Raw genomic sequence first — 26,780 nt, forward strand, 5'->3', positions numbered from 1 at the left:
GGAATTTTAAAAATAGGCTAGAACTAGAATGTTGAACAACAGCTTGTAAGCTTGGAGGAAAGTAGTCCGAAAAAATTGTTCTAAGGCAGATTTTGTCTGCCCTCTGCCTCAAGGTTATATCCCAGGGATGCACTTTATAATGAAGGTATCATTTCCTCCAGAAGACAGGAGGGTGCTTGAAGAGTTGCTTAGGAACTGGGGGATCAGCTTCCTCTATTCCTTTGGCTCCTCCCTATCCAATCTTATTGCTCTGTTATGTTATTTTCTGCCTTCCTATCTTAGCCAGAAGCAGGAAATTCTACTTTTGCAATTCTGCAAGGCACATGGCTTATCCCATCAAGACTTAGTCTAAAGAAAGGGGAAGGGAGGGTTCTTCTGTCAACACTGCTTGCTCCTTCCTCTCTGTTTTCCAGATGAGCTGCTTAGACCATGTTTATTGTGGACTACATTTATGCCCTCCCAAGAGGCCATAAGGAGTAGCCAACATACTCTAATATCCCCGAAATATCTACCAATCCCCTGAAGTGCCATCCTCAGTAAGCACACAGTAACAATTTAACCAGCTGCATAGCTACTGATAACAAGGGCTTCCCAGCTACAAACTGAGGTATTCCCCTGTGCCTCATTCCTCTTCAGCTCAGCAATGCCAATTCCAAGTACCAATTTCTGCCACTTTTAGGAGTCGTTTGTAGGTAACGCAAATTCATCTCAAAAGACTTTAGTCAGGAAAGGAAATTTACTGGCTCATAGCATTGGGACGTCCGGACCTAGAGTTGACCAGGGTCAGAGACTCAAACAGTGTTCTCAAGACCCGTTTGCTGTTCACCCTGCTTACATCTCAGCTCCTTTTATAGATCACCCTCATTCTCTCCAACTGTAAATGGATATATCCAGCAAAGTTGGCCACAAGCAGCTTCACTTAATATTGTGGTTTATCTAAAATTCAGTTAATTGGGTGGGCTGTATTTTACCCGGCAACTCAATATGGGAGAAATCTGATTGGTCCTGCCTGAGTCACATGTCTATCCTTTGGCCCAATCCCTGTGGGCAGAATTGAAATAGCCCTGTAGCCAGGTTGTACAGGAAGCACTGAGATTGATAGTCCCACCAGAATGCCATAGGATGCAAGAAGAGCGGTTCCCAGTGAAGATAAAAATCTCTGATGCACTTTGGGAGGCTGAGGTGGTGGATCACGAGGTCAGGAGTTCGAGACCAGCCTGGCCAACATAGTGAAACCCCATCTCTACTAAAAATACAAAAAATTAGCCAGGTGTGGTGGTGTGCACCTGTAATCCCAGCTACTCGGGAGGCTGAGGCAGGAGAATGGCTTGAACCCGGCAGGCGGAGGTTGCAGTGAGCTGAGATCACGCCATTGCACTCCAGCCCAGGCGACAGTGTGAGACTCTGTCAAAAAAAAAAAAAAAAAATCTTCAATGAATAAAAACAAGAGACAACCAGACAAGCACAACTTTGGGGTTTACTGAAGGTTGGTGGTAGTGGTGGCTGTGTGGCTGTGGTATTATTTATCATGATTTTATTTGCCTCCTTCTTTTTCTGCCACTAGATTCCCCCAGACAACTGATGTTCCTGGTTAGGCTAAGTCCATCCAGGCATGATGAATCTGATAACCTTGGCCACACGAGAGGTGAGAAACTTCATTGGCCAACATGGCCAGCACGGAAAGGAGTGTTTGAGCCCTACTCCGTGGTTCTCAGCCTCAGCGGCATGTTAGAATCTCCTGAGGAATCCTTAAAAAGCATTGATGTGTGGGTTTCTGATTTAATTGGTCTGGGTACATCCTGGGCACTAGGAATTTTTAAAGCTCCTCAGATGATTCTAATATGCAGCCAAGGATGACAACCACTGTCTAAGAGAATGAAGCAAAAAGGGGGGAATATCAGGCTTGGAGAGCATCTTCTTATGGCACATCGTTGGAGTAAAAGTAGTTTAAACTGTTGATAATATGAAGAAATGCATAGAACACTTTGGTAAGTATAAGAAAAGCCCCATGTAAGCCGGGCGGGGTGGCTCACACCTGTAATCCTAGCACTTTGGGAGGTCAACGAGGGCAGATTGCCTGAGCTCAGGAGTTCAAGACCAGCCTGGGCAACACGGTGAAGCCCCGTCTCTACTAAAATATAAAAAATAAGCCGGGTGTGGCACCATGCACCTGTAGTACAGGCTACTCGGGAGGCTGAGGCAGGAGAATTGCACCAATGCACTCCGGCCTGGGTGACAGAGTGAGACTCCGTCTCAGAAAAAAAAAGGGGGGAGAGGGGGGTCAGGGTGCAGTGGCTCACGCCTGTAATTCCAGCACTTTGGGAGGCCAAGGCGGGTGGATCACGAGGTCAGGAGATCGGGACCATCCTGGCTAACACAGTGAAACCCCGTCTCTACTAAAAATACAAAAAAAAAAAAAAAAATTAGCCGCCCGTGGTGGGGGGCGCCTGTAGTCCCAGATACTCGGGAGGCTGAGGCAGGAGAATGGCGTGAACCCCGGGAGGTGGAGCTTGCAGTGAGATGAGATCGCACCACTGCACTCCAGCCTGGGTGACAGAGCAAGACTCCATCTAAAAAAAAAAAAAAAAAAAAAAAAACCCTGAAAGAGAAGCATGTAAAATTGTATATGTAATACGACCTTCAGAATCTAAACAATTTATAGAAAAAATAACAAAGGAAACAAAAATGCTAACAACAGTGATTCTAGATGGTGAAATAATAGGCTTCTAAGTTTCTATTTTATCAGATGTTTCTGAAGTTTTAACTTTTTTCCATGATAAATATGTATTACTTTTATAATTCAGAAAATAAAAGTTAAAAAAAAAACTAGGGGGAAAATGACAAATCCTTTGGACTACATTCAAGGCCTCTATGATGGGGCCCTGCCTACCCCTCAGCCAGGTCTCAGTACTCTCTCTGCCCCCACACGCCCCAGGTTCCAGCCACTGCACATCTCCAGACCTCACAATGTCTCATCCCAGTCACTCCAGACAGAATCTCCCTTTAACTATAGATGTAGTTTTTGATCTTCCAACGAGGTCATGCCTCCTCCCTGATGAAGCTTTCTCATATGCCCAAATGGAAGCCTTCGTATTAGCCCCTTTACCAGCTCAGAGGTTCCCAAAAGTGATCCCCATTGAGAAATAATACCCTTCATCCTAGGAGCAAAGACATCATCGTAAGGACCCTGGGTGAAAAGAAGTTATTTTCCGTCCCGCACGTACTGCTCTGCCCTCGCCCCTTCCGGAGCAGAGCTCGCTCTCAGACCCACGTGCACATTCTCCAGCCCTGCAGACCTCACCTCGCCAGAGGCAGAAGGAAGTCCAGGCATTTGCACCAGTTCATTTAGATCTTAGCAGAGCGTAAAATTTACTTTCTGGGAAATTATAAAAACATGCAATCTGCAGGTCTATCCATAATAAAGGGTTTGCTCTCAAGGCAGAAGCCTCTTAGTACTGTTCTGTAGGCAGACTCCTTCCCTTTGGTCAGTGTAAGCTCCCTGGAGCAACTCGCAATCAGGGGTGGCTTTGAAACCAGCAGAAGGAGCACCCAGTAGAGGGGCACACTAGATTCTGGCAGGAACAACTCTTAACCCCCAGAAACAAGGTAGCTTAATTAAAACAGAAAAAGGAAGAATCTCTACATCTAGATTGAGATGGGACCAGCTATAACTTTTCAGGGGGTCATCCTTCCAGGTTCCTTTCTTCCAGGCAGGCCAGCCTCTGCCCATGTGGTACCTTACCCTACACACTTACTATTACACACTCTGTCCAGGTCGTTTGCTTCCTGAGAGTTCCTCCTGCTTAGAATGGTGAGAGAAGCACTGAATTCAGACTCACGGCCTTCAGAGCCTCCCAATCTGGCCTGTTCACCCTGGCTCTGCCCCTCACTCACTGTGTGACACCAGGTAGGTGTCTTCAGCTGTCTGAGCCTGTTTTTCTCATCCACAAAGACAAGATAACAATACCCACCTGCAGGGCTGTGGGGCGGAGTCACAGTTATATACAAGAAGCTCCTAGCACTGTGCTTGGCATAAAGTCGGTGCTTAATGGTCAGTACCTGTGATTGGGGCTGTCCACAAATTTTTCATTTCCCAAGGCCCAGCTGCAGCCCACCTCCTCCAGGAATCATTTCCTGACAACCCAACCCAACTCAGACTTCTCCCTCTCTTGGCTCTGATGATTCTTGCAGTCCGCCCCATCAGCCTAACACCTGATTTCTCACTTACCTTGGGCACTGATGCTTCTCCAGGAGCTTTCCTTATCACCCCCCAATGAACAGAAAATTCTCCATTAGGAAGAAGCACCTCTTCCTCTTCTCCTGCCTCCCCCACAGTGCAGGGAGAGGCACATCATAGTTGCTCCAGTAGGCAGGCAGGATATGGTCTGTTCACTGAGGGATACAAGTTCGACCTTTATAACGAAGGCAATAGGGAGCTAGTGAAGGTTCTGGAGGAGGGAGATGACAGAAGGTGTCATTCGCGTGAGCACTGAGCAGCGGTGCACAGTATTTCCAGTCTGTTTCCTTCCTGCTTTCCCTGCAGAAGCCGCTGGCAGAGTGATGAATGCACAGTGGCTGAGCATTATTAATCACCTTAAAAGTAAACATTCATCTTGGTGCAGAATTTTTACTTTTCTCCTCTAATAACAGATTAGAGCACCCAGATATTAATGGGCCAGATAATTTACATTTTCCTTAAGCAGAAAACACAAACCATCAGACCCTTGTGGCAACACCACTTCCTGACACATTGAGAGATAGGCCAAATAAACTGCTGTAACTAAAACACTCACATACGCACGCTCACCCGCCGATACGTGGCAGTTTGCAAACATTTCGCAACAAGCTCAATATAATTTCTATACACAATTACTCATTCCCTTCTGGAGGATTTTCCTCTCCTCCTTGCCTTCCCAATTGCTCGGGGCCATTAAACCACAAATCCTTGGGTAGAGTTCCCCTCTGCTGCTTTCCTTAAACTCTGACCTTAGCCCTAAATAAGTCAGTCCTTAAAGGAAACAACTCATTGAGTAGCCAGTGCTACCAAGAAACAAAGTGGGCCGTGGACCTTCGCCACTCTTTTCACCTCTTCTCCTACCAGGGATCCCGAAAAGGGAGAAGCATGTCTGAAAAGAGAAGCCAGAGGAGAAAAATCTTTGCATCTTGATCCTCTTTATGTGATCACCCATGCAAAGTTGCCATAGTGGATTACCTGAGGTTCCAGCCAAAGAGTGAAATACTGCAGTAGGCCAAGCCATGAAGAAGAGAGAGGACAGCAACTTATTCCTGCACTGACGATGACTTATTGTATGATCTTGACCAATTCCTCAATCTTCTCTGAGCTGTGGGTTCCCCATCTGTACAATGAATGGTTTGGTTTTGATGACTCAAAACTCTGACATTTTGTGATTTAACTTCTGGGCACCAACAGTCACACAGGGCAGCAGCATTGAGTATTAGAGCTGAGCAGTTAAAAACAGCATGCATAATACTTAATCCCTGGTTGAGCTAGCCACTGCACATGCTCAGTACTCAGGAGAACTACCTGCTGAGAATGCTCAGTCCACAGGTGAGCAACCCACTGAGCATGCTCAGTCCCCCTCCAAGTGTACTACCCACTGGGCATGCTCCGTGCCAAGGCAATCAAGTTCCCTAAGGCACCAGAGCACATCCCCTCTCACGGAGCATATTCAGTTCTAAAGAAAAGTGACACTAGGCATGCTTAATTACAGGGCAGTAGACTGTCTGCCAGTGAAAGCTGATCCTCTCTCCTTGGGCTCCCCAGAAATAGGATAGGCACACAGTGGGCCCACAGCAACTAGTTGAATTAAACAAGTCAAATAATCTTAGCCACGCTGTCTCTGTTCACCTGTTGAGTTCTACAGACTCTCATTATGACATACATGGCCTTAAGTGTTTACAACAAAACAAAGTTCCCAGCAAATAAACTTGCACCAGCCAACCACTCCAAAACAGAATATATCCTCATAATATGTTTTCAAACTCATCACACCTGTAAGAATACAGAAGATTTGATTAATACTATCCACCAATTTTACCTAATTGACATTTATAGCTCTCTCTATCTAACAGCAGAAATCACATTTTTTTCAGGTAGCAAGGAATATCCATTGGCCATATACTTGGCTGAAAAGCATGTCTCAAAAATTTTTAAAAGACTGAAATCATACAAGTTATTTTATTATAGTGGAATTAAATTAAAAAGTAATAACAGATATCTAGAAAATCACCAAATATTAGGAAATTAAATAAAACACTTTTAAATAACTCATAGATCAATGAAGAAATCACAGGGAAATTGGAAAGTGTTTCAAACTGAATGACAATAAAAGCAACACATATCAAAATTTGCAGGATATGGTTGAAGTGGAGATTAGAAGGGAAGTTGGATCTTTAAATGCCTAGATTAATAAAGAAAAAAAGGCACAAAATCAAAGATCTAAGCATCCACCTTCAGACACAAAAAAAGAAGAGCAAATGAAACTCAGTGTAAACAGGAAATGGAAAACAATAAGAAGACAGAAAATCGATGATATAGAAATGAGATAGACAATTAATCTTTTCTTTGAAAAGATTAATAAAACTGACAGACCCTTTGAAGAAGACTAGCCAAGAAAAAAAGGAGATCATCTATGAACCAGAAAATGGGCCCTCACCAGACACTCAATCTGATGGCACATTGATCCTGGACTCTACTTTGTTTCTAGAACTATGAGAAATTAAATTTCTGATGTTTATAAGCCAAAAAAAGAAAAAAAGAACAGAAAACGCATATTACCAATATGAGAAATTACATATGGCATATCACTATAGATCCTATATCTATTAAAAAACAATACAAAATATTATGAACAACTTTAGGTCAATAAATTGACAACTTAGACAAAACAGACAAACTCCTTGGAAAAGATAAATCACAAAAATGAAATACATGAAATTATAAATCTAAATCATCCTACATCTATTAAGTAATTTTAATTCATAGTCAACAACTTTCCCACAAAGAAAATTCTGAGTCCAAGTGGCTTTACCAGTGAATTTCATCAAACATATAAGGAAGATATAATAAATTGGTATTAAACAAACTCTGAAAGTCAAAGAGAAGGAAATATTTTCCAACTCATTTAATGAAGTCAGAATAATCCTGACATCAAAAACTGACAAAGATATTAGAAAAGATTGTTACAGACCAATATTTCTCGTAATTAAAGAGATTTTTTAAACCCTTGTTAAACTACTAGCAAATTAAACAGCAGTATAGAGAAGTATAATATAACCTGACAAAGTTGTGTTTATCACAGTAATGCAAAGTTGATTAACATTTGGAAAATAAAACAAATCAAGTTGAAAAATTTTTGAGAAAATCTGAAATTCACAAAATTAACAGAATAAGGGAGAAAAAGATCGATGTAATTCACAACATTGATTGAATAAAGGAGAAAAATAATATAATTCAGACAAAACATTGGGCCAATTCAATACCCATTACAGTTAAAAAAAAAAAAAACTATGAGGGGCCGGCCGGGCGCAGTGGCTCACGCCTGTAATCCCAGCACTTTGGGAGGCCGAGGTGGGCAGATCACGAGGTCAGGAGATCAAGACTATCCTGGCTAACACGGTGAAACCCTGTCTCTACTAAAAATACAAAAAATTAGCCGGGTGTGGTGGTGGACGCCTGTAGTCCCAGCTACTCGGGAGGCTGAGGCAGGAGAATGGTGTGAACCCAGGAGGCGGAGCTTGCAGTGAGCCTAGATCGTGCCACTGCACTCCAGCCGGGGCGACAGAGTGAGACTCCATCTCACACACACACAAAAAAACTATGAGTAGAATTTTCTTAATCTGATGAAGGCATCTATTAATATCTAGAGTTAAAAATATCCCACATAACTGTGAAACATTGAATGCTTTTCTTATGAGATCAATAACAATGTTAATAGATAATATCTTGAACATTGTACTAAGCTGTAGATAGTGTACTAGGACAAGAAAACTAAGTAAAAGTCATAAATATTGGAAATTGAAAAGTAAAGCTGTATTCACAGACAACGTGGTTATATTCATGCAATACTCTGGAATCTTCACAAATATATTAGAATAATTGTATTTATGAATCTTACAGGATACAATGTCATTATATTTAAAAAATCAATTATTGCTCTACATAATAGCCACCAAAAAATGGAAAATAAAAACTTTTTTTTTTTTTTTTGAGACAGGATCTTGCTCTGTCACCCAGGCTAAAGTGCAGTGGCACAAACAGGGATCACTGTAGCCTTGACCTCCCTGGCTCAGGTGATCCTCCCACCTCAGTCTCCTGAGTAGTTGGGACCACAGATGCATACTGCCATGCTGGGCTAATTTTATTTAGTTTTATTTTTTGTAGAGACGGGGTCGTGCCATATTGCCCAGGCTGGTGTCAAACTCCTGGGCTCAAGCAATCCTCCTGCCTTGGCCTCCCAAAGTGCTAGGATTACAGGCACAAGCAATAAAATGTTTTTAAATTGTCATTTGCAATAAAATTAATAAACTCAAATACCTAGGTATGATTCTAATTAATAAGGAGCAAAAGCACTGTACTGAAAACTACAAAACAGTTGCTGAGAGAAATTTAAAAGACTTTTAAAATGGAAATATATCATGTTTGTGGATTAAACAACTTGATATTGTTAAGATGTCATTTGCCCCCAAAGTGATCTATCAATCACAATCCCAAATTCCAAGAGGAGTTTTTGAATTGACAAGTTGGTTCTAAAATATATATGGAAATGCAAAGTACCTAGAGTAGCCAAAACAAAAAAGACAAAGTTGGAAGACTTAAACTAATATCAAATCTTTCTATAAAGTAACAGCAATGAAATCAGTATGATTTTGGTGTAAGAATAGGTGAAGAGAGCAGAATACAAGGTCCAAAAATAGACCCACACACAGTCAATTAATTTTTAGCCAAGCCAATTCAATAAAGGAGAGGAAAGGCTTGTTACAATGTGTCAGAATAACTGCCTAGTTCTATTTAAAAACAAAGAATCTCAACTCCTACCTCACTCCATATGCAAAAATGTATTAGAAGATCATAAAGCTAAACATAGTGCTAGATCCAGAAATCTTCCAGAGAAAACATAAAATAATATCTCTGAGACTTGGGATACACAAAGACTTCTTAGAACACAGAAGCCAGTCATCATAAAAGAAAAAATTAACAAATGGAATTAATGAAAATTTAAATTTCTGCTCATCAGACTATGCCATTAATAAAATGAACAAGGAGGCCGGCCACACACTGAGAAAAATATCACAATATGTGTATCTCTAACAAAGGACTCATATTCCAAATATATGAGGAATTCCTACTAATCAACAAAAACACAAGTAGCACAACTTTAAAAATGGGCAAAAGATTTGAAAAGACATTCCAAAAAAGAAGATATATGAATGGTCATTAAGACATGAAAAATGCTCAGTATCAATTTTCTTCAGGAAATGCGAATTAAAATCACAATGAGATATCTTTCATACCCACTACAATGTGTTCTTTTTTGGCAAGTGGGGTATTTATTAAAGACCTACATTTGTGTTAAGAGGGGAAAGAAGCAGGATTGGGCAGAAAGAAGCTGGAAGGCAGTGCGGTCACAGTCTAGCCTGGGTATATGTGGCTGTTCAGACATGTCTCATTTGGGGCCCAAATGGCCAGGCTTCTTATTCCTCCAGTGGATCCATGAGAATTATAGTGGGTCCACTTCTGCTTCCACTGCTTGATTTCTGGACCCATGTATCCTTTTAATTGTCGTACAAGACGGCATTCCATCCTTGTAGAGGGCCACCTCCAAGCTGACACCTCAACCGCACCTTGGGTATGCCATCTACCAAAACTCTATCAGGCTGGAAGCTGGAATGTACTTTTTGAATGATGGAGAATGAGCACAAGGAATCTTTTTGGAGAGATGAAAATATTCTAAAAGTAGATGGTGGTGATGGTTGCACAACTCTATAAATGTACGAAAAATCATCGAACTATGCCTTCACAATGGCGGAAATGTATATGTAAATTACTCCTCAATATGTTCATACATTGCTACTGAAGGTATAAACCATATATCACAATTGAAAGATACAAGCATGTAGTAAAATTGTAAAGAAAAGCTAGAGAACGATAAACATAAAATTCAGGAGAGTAGTTACCTACGAGGGGGACAGAGGAGAATGGGAAGTGATAATGGCAAAGAAGAAATGTTGAAGGTATTGGTAATCTTTTTCCCTATATTAGGTGGTGGTATAAAAGTGTTCATTGTATCAATATTTCTTATACCTTCTATCTAGTTTATAAATATTAATAAAGATTATTTTGTTTCTACTCACATACATAAAACAACTTATAGTTAATAAAAACAACTTAAAATAAATTGGCGGGGTGCATTGGCTCCAGCCTATAATCCCAGCACTTTGGGAGGCTGAGGCAGGCAGATCACTTGAGGTCAGGGGTTCGAGACCAGTCTGGCCAACATGATGAAACCCCGTCTCTACTAAAATTCAAAAGTTAGCGGGGTGTGGTAGCAGGCACCTGTAATCCCAGCTACTCAGCAGGCTGAGGCAGGAGAACCGCTTGAACCCAGGAGGTGGAGGTTGAAGTGAGCCAAGATCATGCCACTGCACTCCAGCCTGGGTGACAAAGCGAGATTCCATCTCAAAAAAAGAAAAATAAATAAAATAAAATAAATTGTAAAAGAGATAAAGAGCCGGGCGCAGTCGCTAACACTTGTAATTCCAGCACTTTGAGAGACCGAGGGTGGTGAATCACAAGGTCAGGAGTTCAAGACCAGCCTGACCAACATGGTGAAACTCCGTCTCTACTAAAAATACAAAAATTAGCCGGGCATGGTGGCGGAAGCCTGTAATCCCAGCACTTGGGGAGGCTGAGGTGGGCAGATCATTTGAGGTCAGGAATTTGAGATCAGCCTGGCCAAATGGTGAAACCTCGTCTCTACTAAAAAATACAAAAATTAGCTGGGCATGGTGGCGCATGCCTGTAGTCCCAGCTATTTTGGAGGCTGAGGTGGGAGAATCTCTTGAACCTGGGATGCGGAGGTTGCAGTGAGCCAAGATAGTGCCACTGCACTCCAGCCTGGGCGACACAGCAAGACCCTATCTCAAAAAGAAAGGAAAAAGAAGAAAGAAGAAGAAGAAGAAGAAGAAGAGAAAGAGGAAGAGGAAGAAGAAGAGGAGGAGGCGGAGAATGGGGAGGAGGAGGAGGAGAAGAAGCAGCAGGAGGGAGGCGGGAGGATGGAAGAGGGAGAAGGGAGAAGGAAGAAGGAAGAAGAAGGAAGAAGAATACTAGGTTGAGTGGAGGTTTTGCCCTCTTCACTTTGGGTAGACAAGAGAGCAAGGGAGTCATAGCACTGATCCTCCCAGCCCCAGCCCAGTGCCATTGAGATACTAATACCTTAACACTTCCATAAAGATATGCACACATCTGCCTTAGAGTTCATTGTCTGGGGTTTTCAGAGAAGGAAAGTGAGAAAGCTTAGGTGCAGGAGCAGGAAGAGTGTTGAATGGTGATAGCCCTTCAATCAGTGGCAATACCTTCAGCAGGGACTCCTGGGCACAGTATCTGCACACCTGGAGAAATAGTAAGTTCCAGGGCAGGCTAAGATACCATCACAAATAGACCCACAATATGTTAATGACTCAAACACAATAGATGTTCATTCCTGCCTCAAATACCTAGTCCAGAGAAGGTGGTCCTCCTTCGTGCAGCGTTTTCAGTCCCAGACTCCTTTTATCTTCTGGCTTCTCTATTCTCTAAGGCCTTATTGTCATCTGCTTCCAGTCAGAGAGAAAAAAAAGAAGGAGGCAGGAGGGACATATCTGCTTTTTTTAACGTTTTAGCCCAGCAACCTTAGGGCAGACAAAGATGTCTTAGAACAGGACACGACGAAAACACACCATCAAAGAAAAAAACTGACACGCCAATTAATTGGACTGCATCGAAATGAAATATTTCTCCTTTTCAAAACACAACATGAACAAAATGAAAAGCCAAACCACAAAGAAAACATTTATTGCGGCATTATTCACAATAGCAAAGACTTGGAACCAACCCAAATGTCCAACAATGATAGACTGGATTAAGAAAATGTGGCACATATACACCATGGAATACTATGCAGCCATAAAAAATGATGAGTTCATGTCCTTTGTAGGGACATGGATGAAATTGGAAATCATCATTCTCAGTAAACTATCGCAAGAACAAAAAACCAAACACCGCATATTCTCACTCATAGGTGGGAATTGAACAATGAGATCACATGGACACAGGAAGGGGAATATCACACTCTGGGGACTGTGGTGGGGTGGGGGGAGGGAGGAGGGATAGCATTGGGAGATATACCTAATGCTAGATGACGAGTTAGTGGGTGCAGCGCACCAGCATGGCACATGTATACATATGTAACTAACCTGCACAATGTGCACATGTACCCTAAAACTTAAAGTATAATTAAAAAAAAAAAAAGTTAAAAATCATCTAATATATGTGGCATATATGAAGATGTTACAAAGTTTCTGAAGATGTATTTTGTAAAAATCCAATAAATTTGAACTCCTGAATAACAAAAAAAATAAATAAATAAAATAAAATAAAATAAAATTATAAAAAAAAAAGAAAACATTTTTGTAATTCACATACCAAACAAAGGACTTGCATCCACAGTATATAAAGAACCCCTAGAATTCAATAAGACCCCCCCCCAAATTCAGTGGCAAAAGATTTTAAGACACTCACAAAAGGAGATGTGCATGAAAGGATGTTTGACATCATCAGTCATCAAGGAAATGCAAATTAAAACCACAAAGAGGCCAGGCATGGTGGCTTATGCCTGTAATCCCAGCACTTTGGGAGGCTGAGGTGAGCAGATCGCCTGAGGTCGGGAGTTCAAGACCAGCCTGGCCAACATGGCAAGACCCCATCTCTACTAAAAATACAAAAATTAGCTGGACGTGGTGGCGGGTGCCTGTAATCCCAGCCTAAAAAGGTAAAAACCACAGATATACACAACAACATGAATGCATTTTAAAACATGTGAAGCGAAAGTAGCCAGCCCAGACCACTTCATGTTGTATGATTTTATGTATATGAAATCCGTGAATGTGCAAATCTAATCTACGATAACATACAGTGGATCAGGCAGTCACCTGTGGGTGGGAGGGATTTATTACAGTGAAGCAAGAGAAAGCCCTTTGGGGTCACGGAAATGTTCAATAGGTTGATTGTGCTAGTAGTGGTATTCATCAAGCTGGTATTGGGGATATACAAGTTGTACATTTTCAAAGGGTGCTTTTCATTGTATGTAAATTCTGTGTTGATAACATTGATTTTTTTTAAGGGAAAGGGGAAGTCTTAGCCTAGAAAGTGCACATAACATAACTTTTACTCACATTACGGTGGTTAGAACAAACCATCATAAGTTCACTGCAACTTCAAGGGAGGCTGAGGAGTGTAGTCCAGCTGTGTGGCCAGGAAGAAGAGGAAAAACAGGTTTGGCAAATAGCAGCAGCATCTGTCACACCCAACTGTCTGCTGCCCAGAGAATCTACTGGAGAGCCCTTCCAAGGCAGATACAGTGAGGCCGCCCCAAGGTTTACAGCAAGGCAGGAGATGAGGCTGGGACACAGGGCAGGGCTGAGCACAGAGAAAAGGAGGAGGCTGCTGGAGGAGGAAGCATTCCCAAAAGCCATTTCCAGAGGAATAAAGCAAGAGGAAATGGTGTCCACAAAAGCTTGGAACAAGAAAGCAGATGTTTGGAGACTGGGTTGGGAAGTCCTGCATGGCTGGACACAGAAAAGTTGGAAAGAGTAGTGGGTGATGGAGATTCTGGGCTCTAAGATCAAGGGCGAAGCAGTGGGGCTGTCTCTTGTGAACCCTCAGAACCCTGGGAGGGTTGGAGGGAAGCTCCAGCTCTGACAGCCCCTACACTGTTTGCAGCACTTAGTTGCTTACCTTCCCATGCAGTCCCAGCACAGGGGAGTGAGGGATGGGTCGTTGCCTGAGGTGCGCACCCCAAGACTGGGGAAGCCCCCTCCACCCGGAGAAGGTGGGAGAAGTTTCGAGCTGTGACTCAGGCTGCACTCCAGGAAAGAGGCGGATGGAGGAGCCAACGTCACAGGCACGAAGTCGTGTGTGGCTGGAGCCCACTCACAAACCCCACTCCCGTCTGAGTCACTGCACAGAAAAGGCACCTGTTGCTCAGCAACGGAGGGGAGGTCCCGGCAGGTCCCAGCTCCCGGCTTCAGACTCCGGCCTGGTTAACCCTTCACTTCCCAAGTAGGGGGAATCTGACCCCAGAAACTCTATGTCAAAGATCTAGACTTACCTGGTTTTGGCTTTACCTGCCAGCCAGCCTATTCCGAAAAGGAACACCTGCCAGTGGAGGATACAGTATCTACTGCATCCCACTCCCCACTGTCCCACTGAGGGAAGAAAGCCCCCAAAGGACCAAGGCCTTGCCCAAGGCCACACAGTTAACAAGTGGCAGAAAAGAGACAGGAAGGCCTCCAGGCTTCATCCATAGGTATTAAAGATCTTTTGCCAGGCGCGGTGGCTCATGCTTGTAATCCCAGCACTTTGGGAGGCCAAGGCGGGTGGATCACCTGAGGTCAGGAGTTCGAGACCAGCCTGACTAACATGGTGAAATCCTGTCCCTACTAAAAATACAAAAATTAGCCAGGCGTGGTGGCAGGCGCCTGTAATCCCAGCTACTCGGGAGGCTGAGGCAGCAGAATTGCTTACACCTGGGAGGTGGAGGTTGCAGTGAGCCGAGATCGTGCCACTGCACTCCAGCCTGGGCACTCCAGCCTGGGCGACAGAGCGAAACTCTCTCTCCAAAAATAAATAAATAAATAAATAATAAAAAAGATCTTTTTAAGTATCAGGCATGATAGGGGAAGAGCTGGTGAGGGCCCATAAAATATGTAGGGCCTGAAAAAGAACAATTGGTTCCAAAATACGAAAAGCAAACTGCAAAATCATATTTAGTAAAATGTTCAATTAAAGATTACAAAAGAACACAATGAGGCCAGGCACGGTGGCTCACACCTGTAATCCCAGCACTTTGGGAGGCTGAGGTGGGCAGATCACCTGAGGTCAGCAGTTCGAGACCAGCATGGCCAAGATGGTGAAATCCCGTTTCTACTAAAAATACAAAAATTAGCTGGACGTGATGGTGCATGCCTGTAATCTCAGCTACTTGGGAGGCTGAGGCAGGAGAATCACTTGAACCCAGGAGGCAGAGGCTGCAGTGAGCCAAGATCACGCCTTTGCACTCCAGCCTGGGCAACAGAGTGAGACTCTGTCTGGAAAACAAACACACAAACAAAAAACAGTACGACAAGTTGGCTTCCTGAATGGTGACATGTAGAATACGTAGAACACGTCCTTACATTTGAAAACCATGTTCTAGAATTGCTTTCGTCACCTTGCAGAATTCCTAAGGGTGCCTGAGAAAAGCTGACCAACACTAACTTAGACTAGTTACTGTGACCAAATCATTTCAAAAGCAAAGCAAAATTATCAAACATCTTCAATTTTTTTTTTTTTTTTTTCTGAGACGGAGTTTCGCTCTGTCACTCAGGCTGGAGTGCAATGGCGCAATATCGGCTCACTGCAACCTCCGCCTCCCGGGTTCAAGCGATTCTCCTGCCTCAGCCTCCTGAGTATCTGGGATTGGAGGTGCGCACCACCACGCCTGGCTAATTTTTTCTATTTTTAGTAGAGACGGGGTTTCACCATGTTAGTCAGGATGGTTTCGATCTCCTGGCCTCAGGTGATCAGCCCGCCTCAGCCTCCCAAACTGCTGGGATTTCAGGCGTGAGCCACCGCGCCCGGCCACATCTTCAATTTATTTACAGAAAGAAAAAAAAAAATCCACATTTCATGTGAGGTATGTGCTACCTATGATGGGAGAAGCTTCCGGAGGAAGGAGGTGAAAGCCCGATGGAGCCTGGAAATGGATCTGCCTGTGCCTTTTTCTCGAGTCAGGGCTTTGCAGCTGGAGCCCCAGCCCCTACCTGAAGCTGTAGGTGGGGGACAAAAGGACCCAGCTGGGGGATGCCACGCCCTTCATGACCTCCAGACAGTGGGGCACGCTGAGAAAATGCCTGCCTCAGAGGGAAGGAAGTGGCCCCGGAGGATTTTTTCCCTCCTGAATAGGAAAGCTTCTCTCCTGGAGACAGATTCCACAGCTAACTGAGCTGCAGCCTGGCAACCGCACCTTCCCAGGCATGCTGAGCGTGTGCGTGGCAGCTCCCCATGCCCTGCTGAAATGCCCGATCCTATTAGTGATAAGGTGCCGGGGAGAAGTTTTATTTCATGTTCCAAGCAGGTTATGCTGATGCAAACAAGATAAAGGTTTCGTGCTGCGTTCTTAGCTGTACCAGGAGTCCTGGGGATGGCTTTCCACCAGTAAATGGTAGTACATTATTTGCTCTCTGGGGCAATAAGAGGTGAACAGTCCTGTAGTCTCTCCTTGGGGGATCTACCCTAAACCCAAGTACCACCTCAGTCCCAGGCAGAGGATCTGCTGTAGGGACTCCTTGGCCCCCTGCCCTCTTCTCCCTCTCCCACTACAGCTGATCCCCGCCACTCACACTATGTGGATGCCTGGGACACCAACAGAGCTGGAGTAGCCAAAGTATTTTTTCAATGAACCTTAAAGAACCTTACAACAGTGTAACTCCATTTACTCGTTCCCTGTCATTTGTGTTGTTCTGGTCATATATTTCCTATTTTCATACATTATAGACCTTATAATACAATGCTATTCTTTTTCCTTGAAGTAGTCATTATCTTCCAAAGGAATCAAAAGAAGAAAAAAAAACATTGTTTTTGATATTTACCTACATTTTGCCATTGCTAATGTTCTTTATTCTTTCTCTTATATCTGAGTTTCCCCTGGTGCCATTTCCCTTTATCTTGAAGAACTGCCTCTAGCATTTTGTGTTGCATGTCTGCTCAGCTTTTGTTTATCTGAAAATGTCTTGATATTGCCTTCGTTTTTGATATGAAAAGAGTGTTTTTCACAGAATATTGAATTTTGAGTTGGCTGCTTTTTTTCTTTCAGTGTGTTAAAGGTGCCATTCCATTGTCTTACGATCTCCATTGTTTTTGATGGCAAGTCAGCTATCATTTGTATCATTGTTCTCTGCATGTAAAGTATTTTTCTCTCTGCTTTCACGTTTTTCTCTTTCTTTGCTTTTCAGTAGTTTGATGATGATGTGCCTAAGTACAGTTTTCTTTGTATGTATTCAGCCATGGGGTTGGCTGAGTTTCTTGAATCTGTAAGTTTATGTCTTCATGAAATTTGGGAAAAATTAGGATGCTACCATAGCATCCATATATTTTCTCTGTCCAACTCTCTTTCTCTTTTTTCTGGGACTCTAACTAAACATATGATAAGCCACTTGATATTGTCTCACAAATTGCTAAGACCATGTTCAATTTTATTTCAATTAACTTTTTTCTCTACAGATTGGATGATTTGATGTGTCTTCCATTTCACTCACCCTTTCTTTTGCTATCTTTAGTGAGATATTAAACCCATTAGTAAATTTTTCATTTTAGATATTTTACTCTTCAATTCTGGAATTTTCTTTGGGCTTGCTTTTATCTTCTTTTCTCCATCTGCTCATCATTATGATCAAGTCCATATGTATTTTATTAGCTTGTTTATAAAGATTTTGTCAACTAATTCCAACATGTGGGTCATTTTGAGATCTGTTCCTATCAACTTTTTTCTTTTGCCAATAATCACATTTTTCTGTTACTTCGTATCTACCCATTTTTAATTGTATACTGATTATTGTGGATAATACATTGTAGATAGACTTTGGATTCTGTATATTTTTCCATGATGAGTGCTGATTTTTGTTGTAATATGAAGTTAAATTACTAGATAATCACCTTGAACTCTTAGAGGCTTGGTTTTGTATTATTAGAGCAGGTCTGTTTCAGTTTTGCCCTTCATCTGAGAGCAAATCCCTAGTCCTGGGACACAATCTTCACTCCTCCAGTGTAGCCCTCCTGAGACCCTAATGGAAGGCCCAAGGGCCCATGAAGCCTCTCTCAGATGGCAGAGCCACGATGGCTTTGCTCACATGTCTGGCAGTTGGTCAGGCTGTCAGCCAGGGCTCCTCAGTTAACCTCCTGTAGACTAGACCAGCTTCCTTGCATGGTGGTCTCAAGACAGTATTCCAAGAGGGTGAAGACAGAAGCTTCAAGGCATCTTAAGGCCTAACCTTGAAAATCATACAATATCCCTTGTGATGGTTAATTTTATGTGTCAACTTGACTGGGCTACAGGATGCCCAGACATTTTGACCAAACATTATTCCGGGTGTGTTTGTGAGGGTATTTTTGGATGATATCAACATTTGGATTGATAGACTGAATAAAGCAGATTGCTCTCTCCAATGTGGATGGGCTCATAAAATCAGTTGAAGGACTGAATAGAACAAAAAGTGTGACCCTCCCACAAGTAAGAGGGAATACCTCCTGCCTGACTACCTTTGAGCTGAGACATTGCCTTTTTCCTGTCTTCAGACTTGAACAGAAACATGACAGACTCGTCCTTCACCTCAGGCCTTTGGATACCTGCGTCTCCAGCTTGCCAACTGTGAGTCTTGGGACTTGTCAGTCTCTGTAATTGCATAAACCAACTATATACATACACACACACACACACACACACACACATATAAATATATGTATGTATGTATGTATGTATATAGAGAATATATATAATTAATTATATTACCCAATTAATATTAATTATATATATCACATACACACATATACAGATACTCCTTAACTTACAATGAAGCTACATCCTGATAAACTCATTGTAAGTAGAAAATATCATACCCCTATAAACCCATTGCAATGTCAAAAAATTGAAAGTCAAGCCATCATTAAGTCCAGATGCTCCTTGACTCACAATGGGGTTATATCCCGTCATAAAGTCAAACCATCATAAATAGAATACCATCCCTCTGTGTCTGTGTATGTCTATGTGTGTGTGTCTGTGTGTGTGTGTCCATCATAAATAAGGGAACATCAGCGTGTGTGTGTGTCTGTCTGTCATAAATAGGGGACCATCTGCGTGTGTGTGTGTCCATCATAAATAGGGGACTATCCGTGTGTGTGTGTGTGTGTGTGTGTGTGTGTGTGTGTGTGTGTAGTCTTCTGTTGGTTCTGTTTCTCTGGAGAATCCTGACTAATGCATCCCTTCTGCCATAATCTGTTATTCACTAGTCACAAAATAGACTTTATCTCTGAATGAAAGGAGTTAAAAAGTCACATTGCAAAGGGATGTGCATACAGGGCAAACAGGATTTTGTGGCCATCAAACAATCTACCATAGCACCCTGATACAGTTTGGATATGTGCCCCCGCCCAAATCTCATGTTGAATTGTAATCCCCAGTATTGGAGGTGGGGCTTGGTGGAAGGTAATTGCATCACGGGAGTGGAGCAAAGATGGTCCTCTTGCTCTCTCTCTCTCTTGCTCCTGCTCTGGTCATGTGATATGCCTGCTCCCTCTTCACACTCTGGCATGATGGTAAGTTTCCTGAGGCCTCTCCAGAAGCTGAGCAGATACCAGCATCATGCTTCCTGTACAGCCTGCAGAGCCATGAACAAGCCTCTTTATAAATTACCCACTCTCAGTTCTTTCTTTCTTTCTTTGTTTCCTTTTTTTTTTTTTTTTTTTTTTTTGAGATGGAGTTTCACTCTGTCACCCAGGCTGGAGTGCACGGTGCGATCTCAGCTCACTGCAACCTCCGTCTCCCCAGATTCAAGCGATTCTCCTGCCTCAGCTTCCCGAGTAGCTGGGATTACAGGCACCTGCTACTGCCCCTGGCTAATTTTTGCATTATTATTAGAGACGGGGTTTCACAATCTTGGCCAGGCTGGTCTTGAACTCCTGACCTCATGATCCACCCGCCTCAGCCTCCCAAAGTGCTGTGATTACACTCGGCCTCTCAGGTATTTCTTTACAGCAATGCAAGAATGAATGAATACATACCCTTTATTATCCTTAAAATGAAAACATGGAAAATAGAGCTAACCTAAATGTAAATGCTTAAAAACATAAAAGCATTCACTAACCATAATATAAAAGAGGTATGGAAGGTAAATCATTTATAATAAAACAATATGTATTTCAATATGTAAATGCTTCGGCATAATCGCACTAGAAGACATCATGAAGTAATCAGCCTCTTATATTTATATGCAGAGTGACACACACAGCGTGACACAGGAATGTTATCCTGGTGACTCATATTATGAACATCATTATCTTCAGTAATGATCTCCAAAATGGTGAAGAGCTATTGGTAATGTTCAGAACAAAACAAAATATAAAATTCCCTTGATTTATACCACAGCTGTATTCCTCCACTATTCAGTATGGGTTAAAAACGGTGCCAAAAAGTTCTTATGCTCTAGTTTCAGATAAGCATGAACAAGAATACACCAACAAGAATATCTGGCTGGACATTTGAAATCCAGCAGGACAAGGGATAATTTGTTGAGAACATTTCAGGAAACCAGGCACCCCACCATCTTTGGTTTAACCAAAGCCACACTCTAAAGTTTGAGTTGTTCCCTAGGGGGCCATACCACCAGTTGAGAATCATCAGATGGGGGGCTGTTATAACAGAGATATAGACCTATGTAGATATATAATGCATGATCACTTCCCCCCAGTGCATCAGCAGAGAAAAAGCACCACCCAAGAGAACCACCAGTGAGGTTCCAGAGAGAAAAGGAAGTACAACAGAGGAGGCGCTCAGGAGAAGACTAATGAAAGAAGCAGATAGAGTTCCCAGCAGACACACGACGTGAATGGCCCAGTGTTTCTGACTCACATCAGAATAACGCAAGACTCAGTCTTATGGCCCCTCAGGGAGAGGGCAGGCCAGGCAACCCACCCTACCGAGGGCTTGCAGATCCAGTCCTTGAGGGCATGAGGATAGGAAGCTGGCAGTTCCCTGCCCAACTCCAAGATTTTGGAGCTAACTTGGGGGAAATTGCTTCTGTTGGACTTTAAAGATGAACAAATTTAGTGCCTTTGTGGAGAGATTCTGGGCCAAGGAATACCACAAGATTTAGTATTTTAAAGCTGCACCCGCCACCGCGAGTTTTACATGAGGAAGGAGGGAAGGTCACAGCTCGATGTGATGGCTGTGCATGACGTGATCGGGTCTCCAGAGGCAAAGGGATTCAGCCGAGGGCCTGTCTGTGTGTGCATGTGGTATGTGCAGTTAGAGTGTGATCTATGGGTTGCCGAGCCATTTCTGTTAATTAAACACTTCAATATAATTTTGAGGTAAGAGCCCTTGGCCTGTATTTCAGACAGTCCCTGGAGGACTGGGGAAGTGGGAGAATATGCCATCTGGCAAAGCACCATGAAATTGAATCACCTGGGGGAATTCAAAGAAAACTGCACTAACCATGGAGGGATAGATAGATGGACAAATCAACCCACAGGCTCTCTATTCACTTTATCAAAGATCAAGGGTAGGAGTAGGTTTCCTTTTCCCCCACCAATGGCCAACCCGCCCATCCAGCCTCCGGCCACATTGGGATCCCCCAGAAGCCACCAGGCCCTGCTCCCTGCAGCCGCAAAGCACAGACAATGGCAGCCTTCCCTCTTGTGCCCCCTGCTCACCCCGGAGCCAGGCTCCTCTGACTTCCCCTCCAAATCCAACCCTCTTATTCCTCAGATCGTGCGTACGTAGGGCCACGAAAGTGCACGTTAACTCAAGGCCAGGCATCTTTGGAAGGAAATCAATACATAATTATGTGTTCTGTCTGCCACATGGCCCAGAGCCAGGCTGATTGGGAATTAGAGAAAGTGAAAACAGAGTGGTCAAGGCCAGCCCAGCATCTAGATATGCCCTGTCAGGGTGGAAGAAGCGGAGGCCGAGGACCCACCACCAGGCCTCCGTGTGGATCTCACAGCCTTTTCCACTTGAAGCATCGCATCCTGGGACCAGTTCAAGCAGGCAGACTCAGGGGCACTGGCTCCTTTGCTTTTCTGATTCCTTGCTGCATCCACAGGGGGCTGGACTCTGCAGCAGCCTCCTCACCTGCCTCCCTGTCTCCCTTCTATCCCCCTCTAATCTACCCAGCTTGAGCACCAGCAACCCAGATGATCTTCCTAAGGTGCAAATACAACCACGTCATTTGTCTGCATAAAGGCATTCTCAGGTAGCAGCATGGGGTTGACAGCATCTAATATGAAGTTAGAAAGACCCAGGTTTGAGTATTGCCTGAGGCACTGAAAGACGCTGATCAAGCCATTGTATCCCTCTGTAACATGGAGGAAATAAGAGTATCAACTTTACAGAGTTGCTTGTGAGGATTCTAGAAAATGATATGGGCCAAACCTGGCACACCGTAGGCACCATGTAAGTAATAGCCATCATCATTATCATCATCATCAACATCATTATCATCATCATCAACATCATTATCATCATCATCAACATCATTATCATCATCTTTTTTTTATGGCTTTCTCCCTGGAGATAATGTCTTCGTCCTCTCCAGGCCTCCTTCCACACATTTTCATTACAACACTTAGGATTTGGAAGCTTCCGTCCTCTTTCCTCCACTTGTAGGAGGATCCAGGCTTCACAGGCAGAGGACCTGGGGGCAAGTCATGTCCCAGTGGATGAAGCCATGTTCTTCTGGGGCTTCCCTGTGATGATGGCATATGCCTGTGAGATGGAGGAGCCTCAGCTGCAGCTGGCCCACAACTCAGGCCGTGCAAAAACCTGAGCTCAGTCCGGGGTTTGCCTTTGGACCTGGACCTTTGTCTTGGGCCAGGGCCAGAGCTCATTCCGGAAATAGGGTCAGAACTCAGCCCACCCCTAGGATCAGCCCTCAGCCTATAGCCAGAATCTGGGCTCACACTGGGGCCACAGTGGAGACTCAGTTCAAGGGCAGACAGCAGAGTTTCTTGATGTGAAGTTTAAAGATTTCCATGAACATAACCCATGGCTGAAGCATTGTGGGCATCCAGCTCTCAGCATGCTGTGGCTGAAATGCATCATTCCCCTTCATGATGTGAAGGCACCTTCCTGCCCACATGCAACATGAATGTAGACATTTTTAAGAACAAAAAGACTGACGTTAGCAATTTGTCTTCTGCAAACAGCAGATCTGCCAAAACCACTCTGCCACTTGATGCCAAAAAGACACCCGCTACAGCCATATCTTTGTGTCTTGTGATACCAGACAGGCAGAAAAAAAAGCAAAAATAAATGTCCCTTGAATATTTCCAAAGATCCAGGTTTGGGCCCTCTGTCTCTAGCACCCCTACCCTGGCCAGAAGGGGAGACCCTGGGACAGAGGACCACAGTGGGTGTTTCTCATGGCTGTGGCACAGATACTGGGAGGCAGGCACCGAGAGCAGAAGGAGTGAGTCAAGCATGGATCAGAGAGCAGAGGAGAGCAGCCCAAGGATCCAGGGGTTGGAATGGGCCTGGAGAGGAGGTGGCAGGAAGGGAGTCAGCAGCGGCGGCCAGGGCTTCTGCTTCAGTGGCAACCAGTGCCCCATGCACTTTGCCAGGGACAAGAACCAGGACAGAAGGAGCAGTGGACAGAGCCCGGAGGGAAGCTGGTCCCCTCTTCCTCCGGGCAAGGGATGTGCAGGGGCTGCATCAGCCCTCCCCACTCCATGGCTCCAGATGCCCCTTCCTCCCTCCACATCCCACATCCTCTCCTCTGTGGGGAAAGCAGCCCTGCCTAGAGGCAGCCTTCTCCACTTCTCTCTCCAAGCCTTGATTTCTCCTGCACTCTGTAGACTCGAGTCTCTGTTTCACCCCCAATTCTTTTACTGAGATGGTTCCAGAAGGCAAATTCCTCCACAGCATTAAAAAATAATTTATAGAAATAATGTTCCTTTAATAAAAGCCACATAGAGTTATACAATTTTTATAGTGCACGACCGAACAAGAAAGGTCTGAACTCTTGTATAAAAATGAATCTGTCCCGCTCCCATGCTCAGAATGATACCACCTCCTTGGGCTAACATAATATATTGGCTTGGAAAGTTTAACTTTCAGTGTCATTGGGCCGAGCTGGCCACTCATTCTGCTCCAAAGAGCTCCTCCAAAGACAAACTCTTCCAGTGTGGCTCATAAATATGAGGGCAGGAAAAACAAACTTGCTTCTGCTTCTCTCTCTCTCTCTCTCTCTCTCTCTGTCTATATATATATATATATATATATATATATATATATATATATGTATAATATAGGCAGTTAGTGGCTAAATTGTATTGTAATTGATTGCAAAATTGCTTTTTTAATGAGATTTAGACACGAGGAAATAGCTTTTTTTTCTGTAACATACCCAAAGTGAACTTGGTCACTTTGACAACAAATTGTCTCTGTGGCTTTTTCCTAGTCATGTATAATTTGGATATTAGTCATGTATAAATTGGATATTAGAGAAGAGGATTATGGGCTGCCTTGGAAAGAGACAGCTCAAGCCAGCAGTTCATCCCCACTCCCAGCAGGGTCGGTGACCTGGCAGCCCCTTCTTCCCAGAATGCTCCAGAACACTTTCATCCCCCTTCCTGTTCCACCCAAGGCTGCACTGTCAGAGCACCACCTCTTTTTTTTTTTTTTTTTTTTTTTTGAGACAGGGTCTCACTCTGTTGCCCAGGCTGGAGTGCAATGGCATGATCTCAGCTCACTACAACCTCTGCCTCCTGAGTTCAAGCAATTCTCCTGCCTTAGCCTCCTGAGTAGCTGGGATTACAGGCACGCGCCATCATACCTGGCTAATTTTTGTATTTTTAGTAGAGACAGGGTTTCACCAAGTTGGTCAGGCTGGTTTCAAACTCCTGACCTAGTAATCCACCCGCCTAGGCCTCCCAAAGTGCTGGGATCACAGGCGTGAGCCACCGCGCCCGGCCCAGAGCACCACCTTCTGCAGTCCAGGATGCTCCTCCATCTCAGTCCACCTTACTATGTGCCTCTACCCTGGAGGGAAATAAGAGATCCCCTTAGAACATGTGCCAGAGGGACCCACTCAGCTGGCAGGACCCAGTCAGAACCTCAAGCGCTTCAGAATCTAGTAAGGGAAGTCTGCATATCTTGTTGCTGAAGACACAGGTACCGTTTGTGCCCTCCTAGATCCCCTTCAAAGCCAGTGCTGTGAATATTGGATGCTAATGGCTCACAGCACCCCCTTCTCCAGAGCAGCCTGTTTTTGTAAATAAAGTTTTATTGGAACACAGCCACGCCCGTTCATTTAATTGTCTGTGACTGAGTTCGCAGTACAATGGTAGAGTCGAGTCATTGCAACAGAAACCATATGGCCCACAAAGCATAACATATACACTACCTGGCCCTTAACAGAAGAAGTTTGCTCTAGAGAATGAGCTTCTGCCAATGCACCTGCGCGTAAAAGTCATGCTGCCCACAGCCCACTGCATGACTAACTCAGGGATCTGAAAAGCCCACCTGCTTGTCTCAAGGTGAGACCAGCTGTGCACTGTGGTTCACACTCCAGAGCGCCCCACAGGGTCAGGCTGAGGTTAGAGCCAGCTGAGAGCCCCTGTCTGCCTGGCTCCTGCCCCTGCCCTCTCTCATCATCCTTGTTTCCCTTCTTCTCTGAGGACTTCCACGATAAATTACATGCCCCAGAACGCCCGTCCTGGGTTGTTTCTAAGGATCCTGACTTGTAAAAACTAAGTCACTAGAACTTTTTTTTCCCCACAACCTCTTGCATAGAAACCCAGGTTTTCAAACAGATGGAACGGAGTGGTGGGGAACCCCGGTTACTCAGTGTCGCCTTCCTCTTCAGCAGCCCCTGGAACGCCTCCTCAGAATTCCAAGAGCCTCAAAACACCATTGGTAAACTGTTGCCTGGGGTGTGTGCTCTCCCACCCTGGCTGGGAAACTTCCCTGACTTCCTATTCCTAGAGATCACTCTCTCACCCAGAACCCGAAGCATGGCCTGGCCCCCAGGCACTTGTCCCCATCTGCTGGCTCTCATGGTGGCTTGTGCCTGGCCTTCCTTTTTTTTTTTTTTTTTTTTTTTTTAAGATGGAGACTCGCTCTGTCACCCAGGCTGCAGTGCAGCCCTGCGATCCGGCTCACTGCAACCTCCGCCTCCCAGGTTCAAGCGATTCTCCTGCCTCAGTCTCCCGAGTAACTGGGATTACAGGCATGCACCACCACGCTCAGCTAATTTTTTGTATTTTTGGTAGAGACAGGGTTTCACCGTATTAGTCAGGATGGTCTTGATGTCCTGACCTCATGATCCACCCACCTCGGCCTCCCAAAGTGCTAGGATTACAGGCATGAGCCACCATGCCTGGCCCCTGCCTGGCCTTCTCTCTCTGCCACAATGTGAACTCCTCTGTGACCCATTCATCTTCTTCTCACCCAGAAAACTCACCATTCATTCATTCAATGTAACAGTTCTGGTTGGCACACCACAACATGCCCTATGCTTGGCACTGGGACTCCAGAGATGAATAAGTCAGGATTCCTACCCCAACGAGTTCACAGGGTGAGAGAGAGGAGGAAGAAACAGGCACGCCAATGGACAAGGAGGCCAGGCAGTCAGAAAGTCAGAAGAGCCTTTGCAGAAGAAGGAACATTTGTACTGGGCTTTGAAGGATGAGTAGGAGTTCACAGGGAGTGAAGCCAAGGAGCTCAGCACTCTCTGCTTGCATCGGGTGT

The 26,780-nt window shown here is 44.2% G+C and overlaps 1 long non-coding RNA gene across 2 annotated transcripts in view; it reads right to left on the reverse strand.

Moving 5' to 3' along the window:
• LOC105371509 (uncharacterized) overlaps nt 1–14,196 on the reverse strand; it is a 32,601-nt gene extending 18,405 nt beyond the window's left edge. Inside the window, exons 1-2 of one of the 2 annotated variants that reach the window (XR_934188.3) lie at nt 14,015–14,196; nt 13,453–13,522 (exon numbers count right to left, since the gene is read on the reverse strand). This is a non-coding gene — a long non-coding RNA (uncharacterized LOC105371509). Of the gene's footprint in view, nt 1–835; nt 1,191–13,452; nt 13,523–14,014 lie in introns of those variants that run through there. The other variant, XR_934187.2, reaches the window with a different exon arrangement.
• Between the last annotated feature and the right edge of the window lie 12,584 nt (nt 14,197–26,780).

This window comes from Homo sapiens, chromosome 17 (genome assembly GCF_000001405.40).
Source record: "Homo sapiens chromosome 17, GRCh38.p14 Primary Assembly".
NCBI classification, from domain to species: Eukaryota; Metazoa; Chordata; class Mammalia; order Primates; family Hominidae; genus Homo; species Homo sapiens.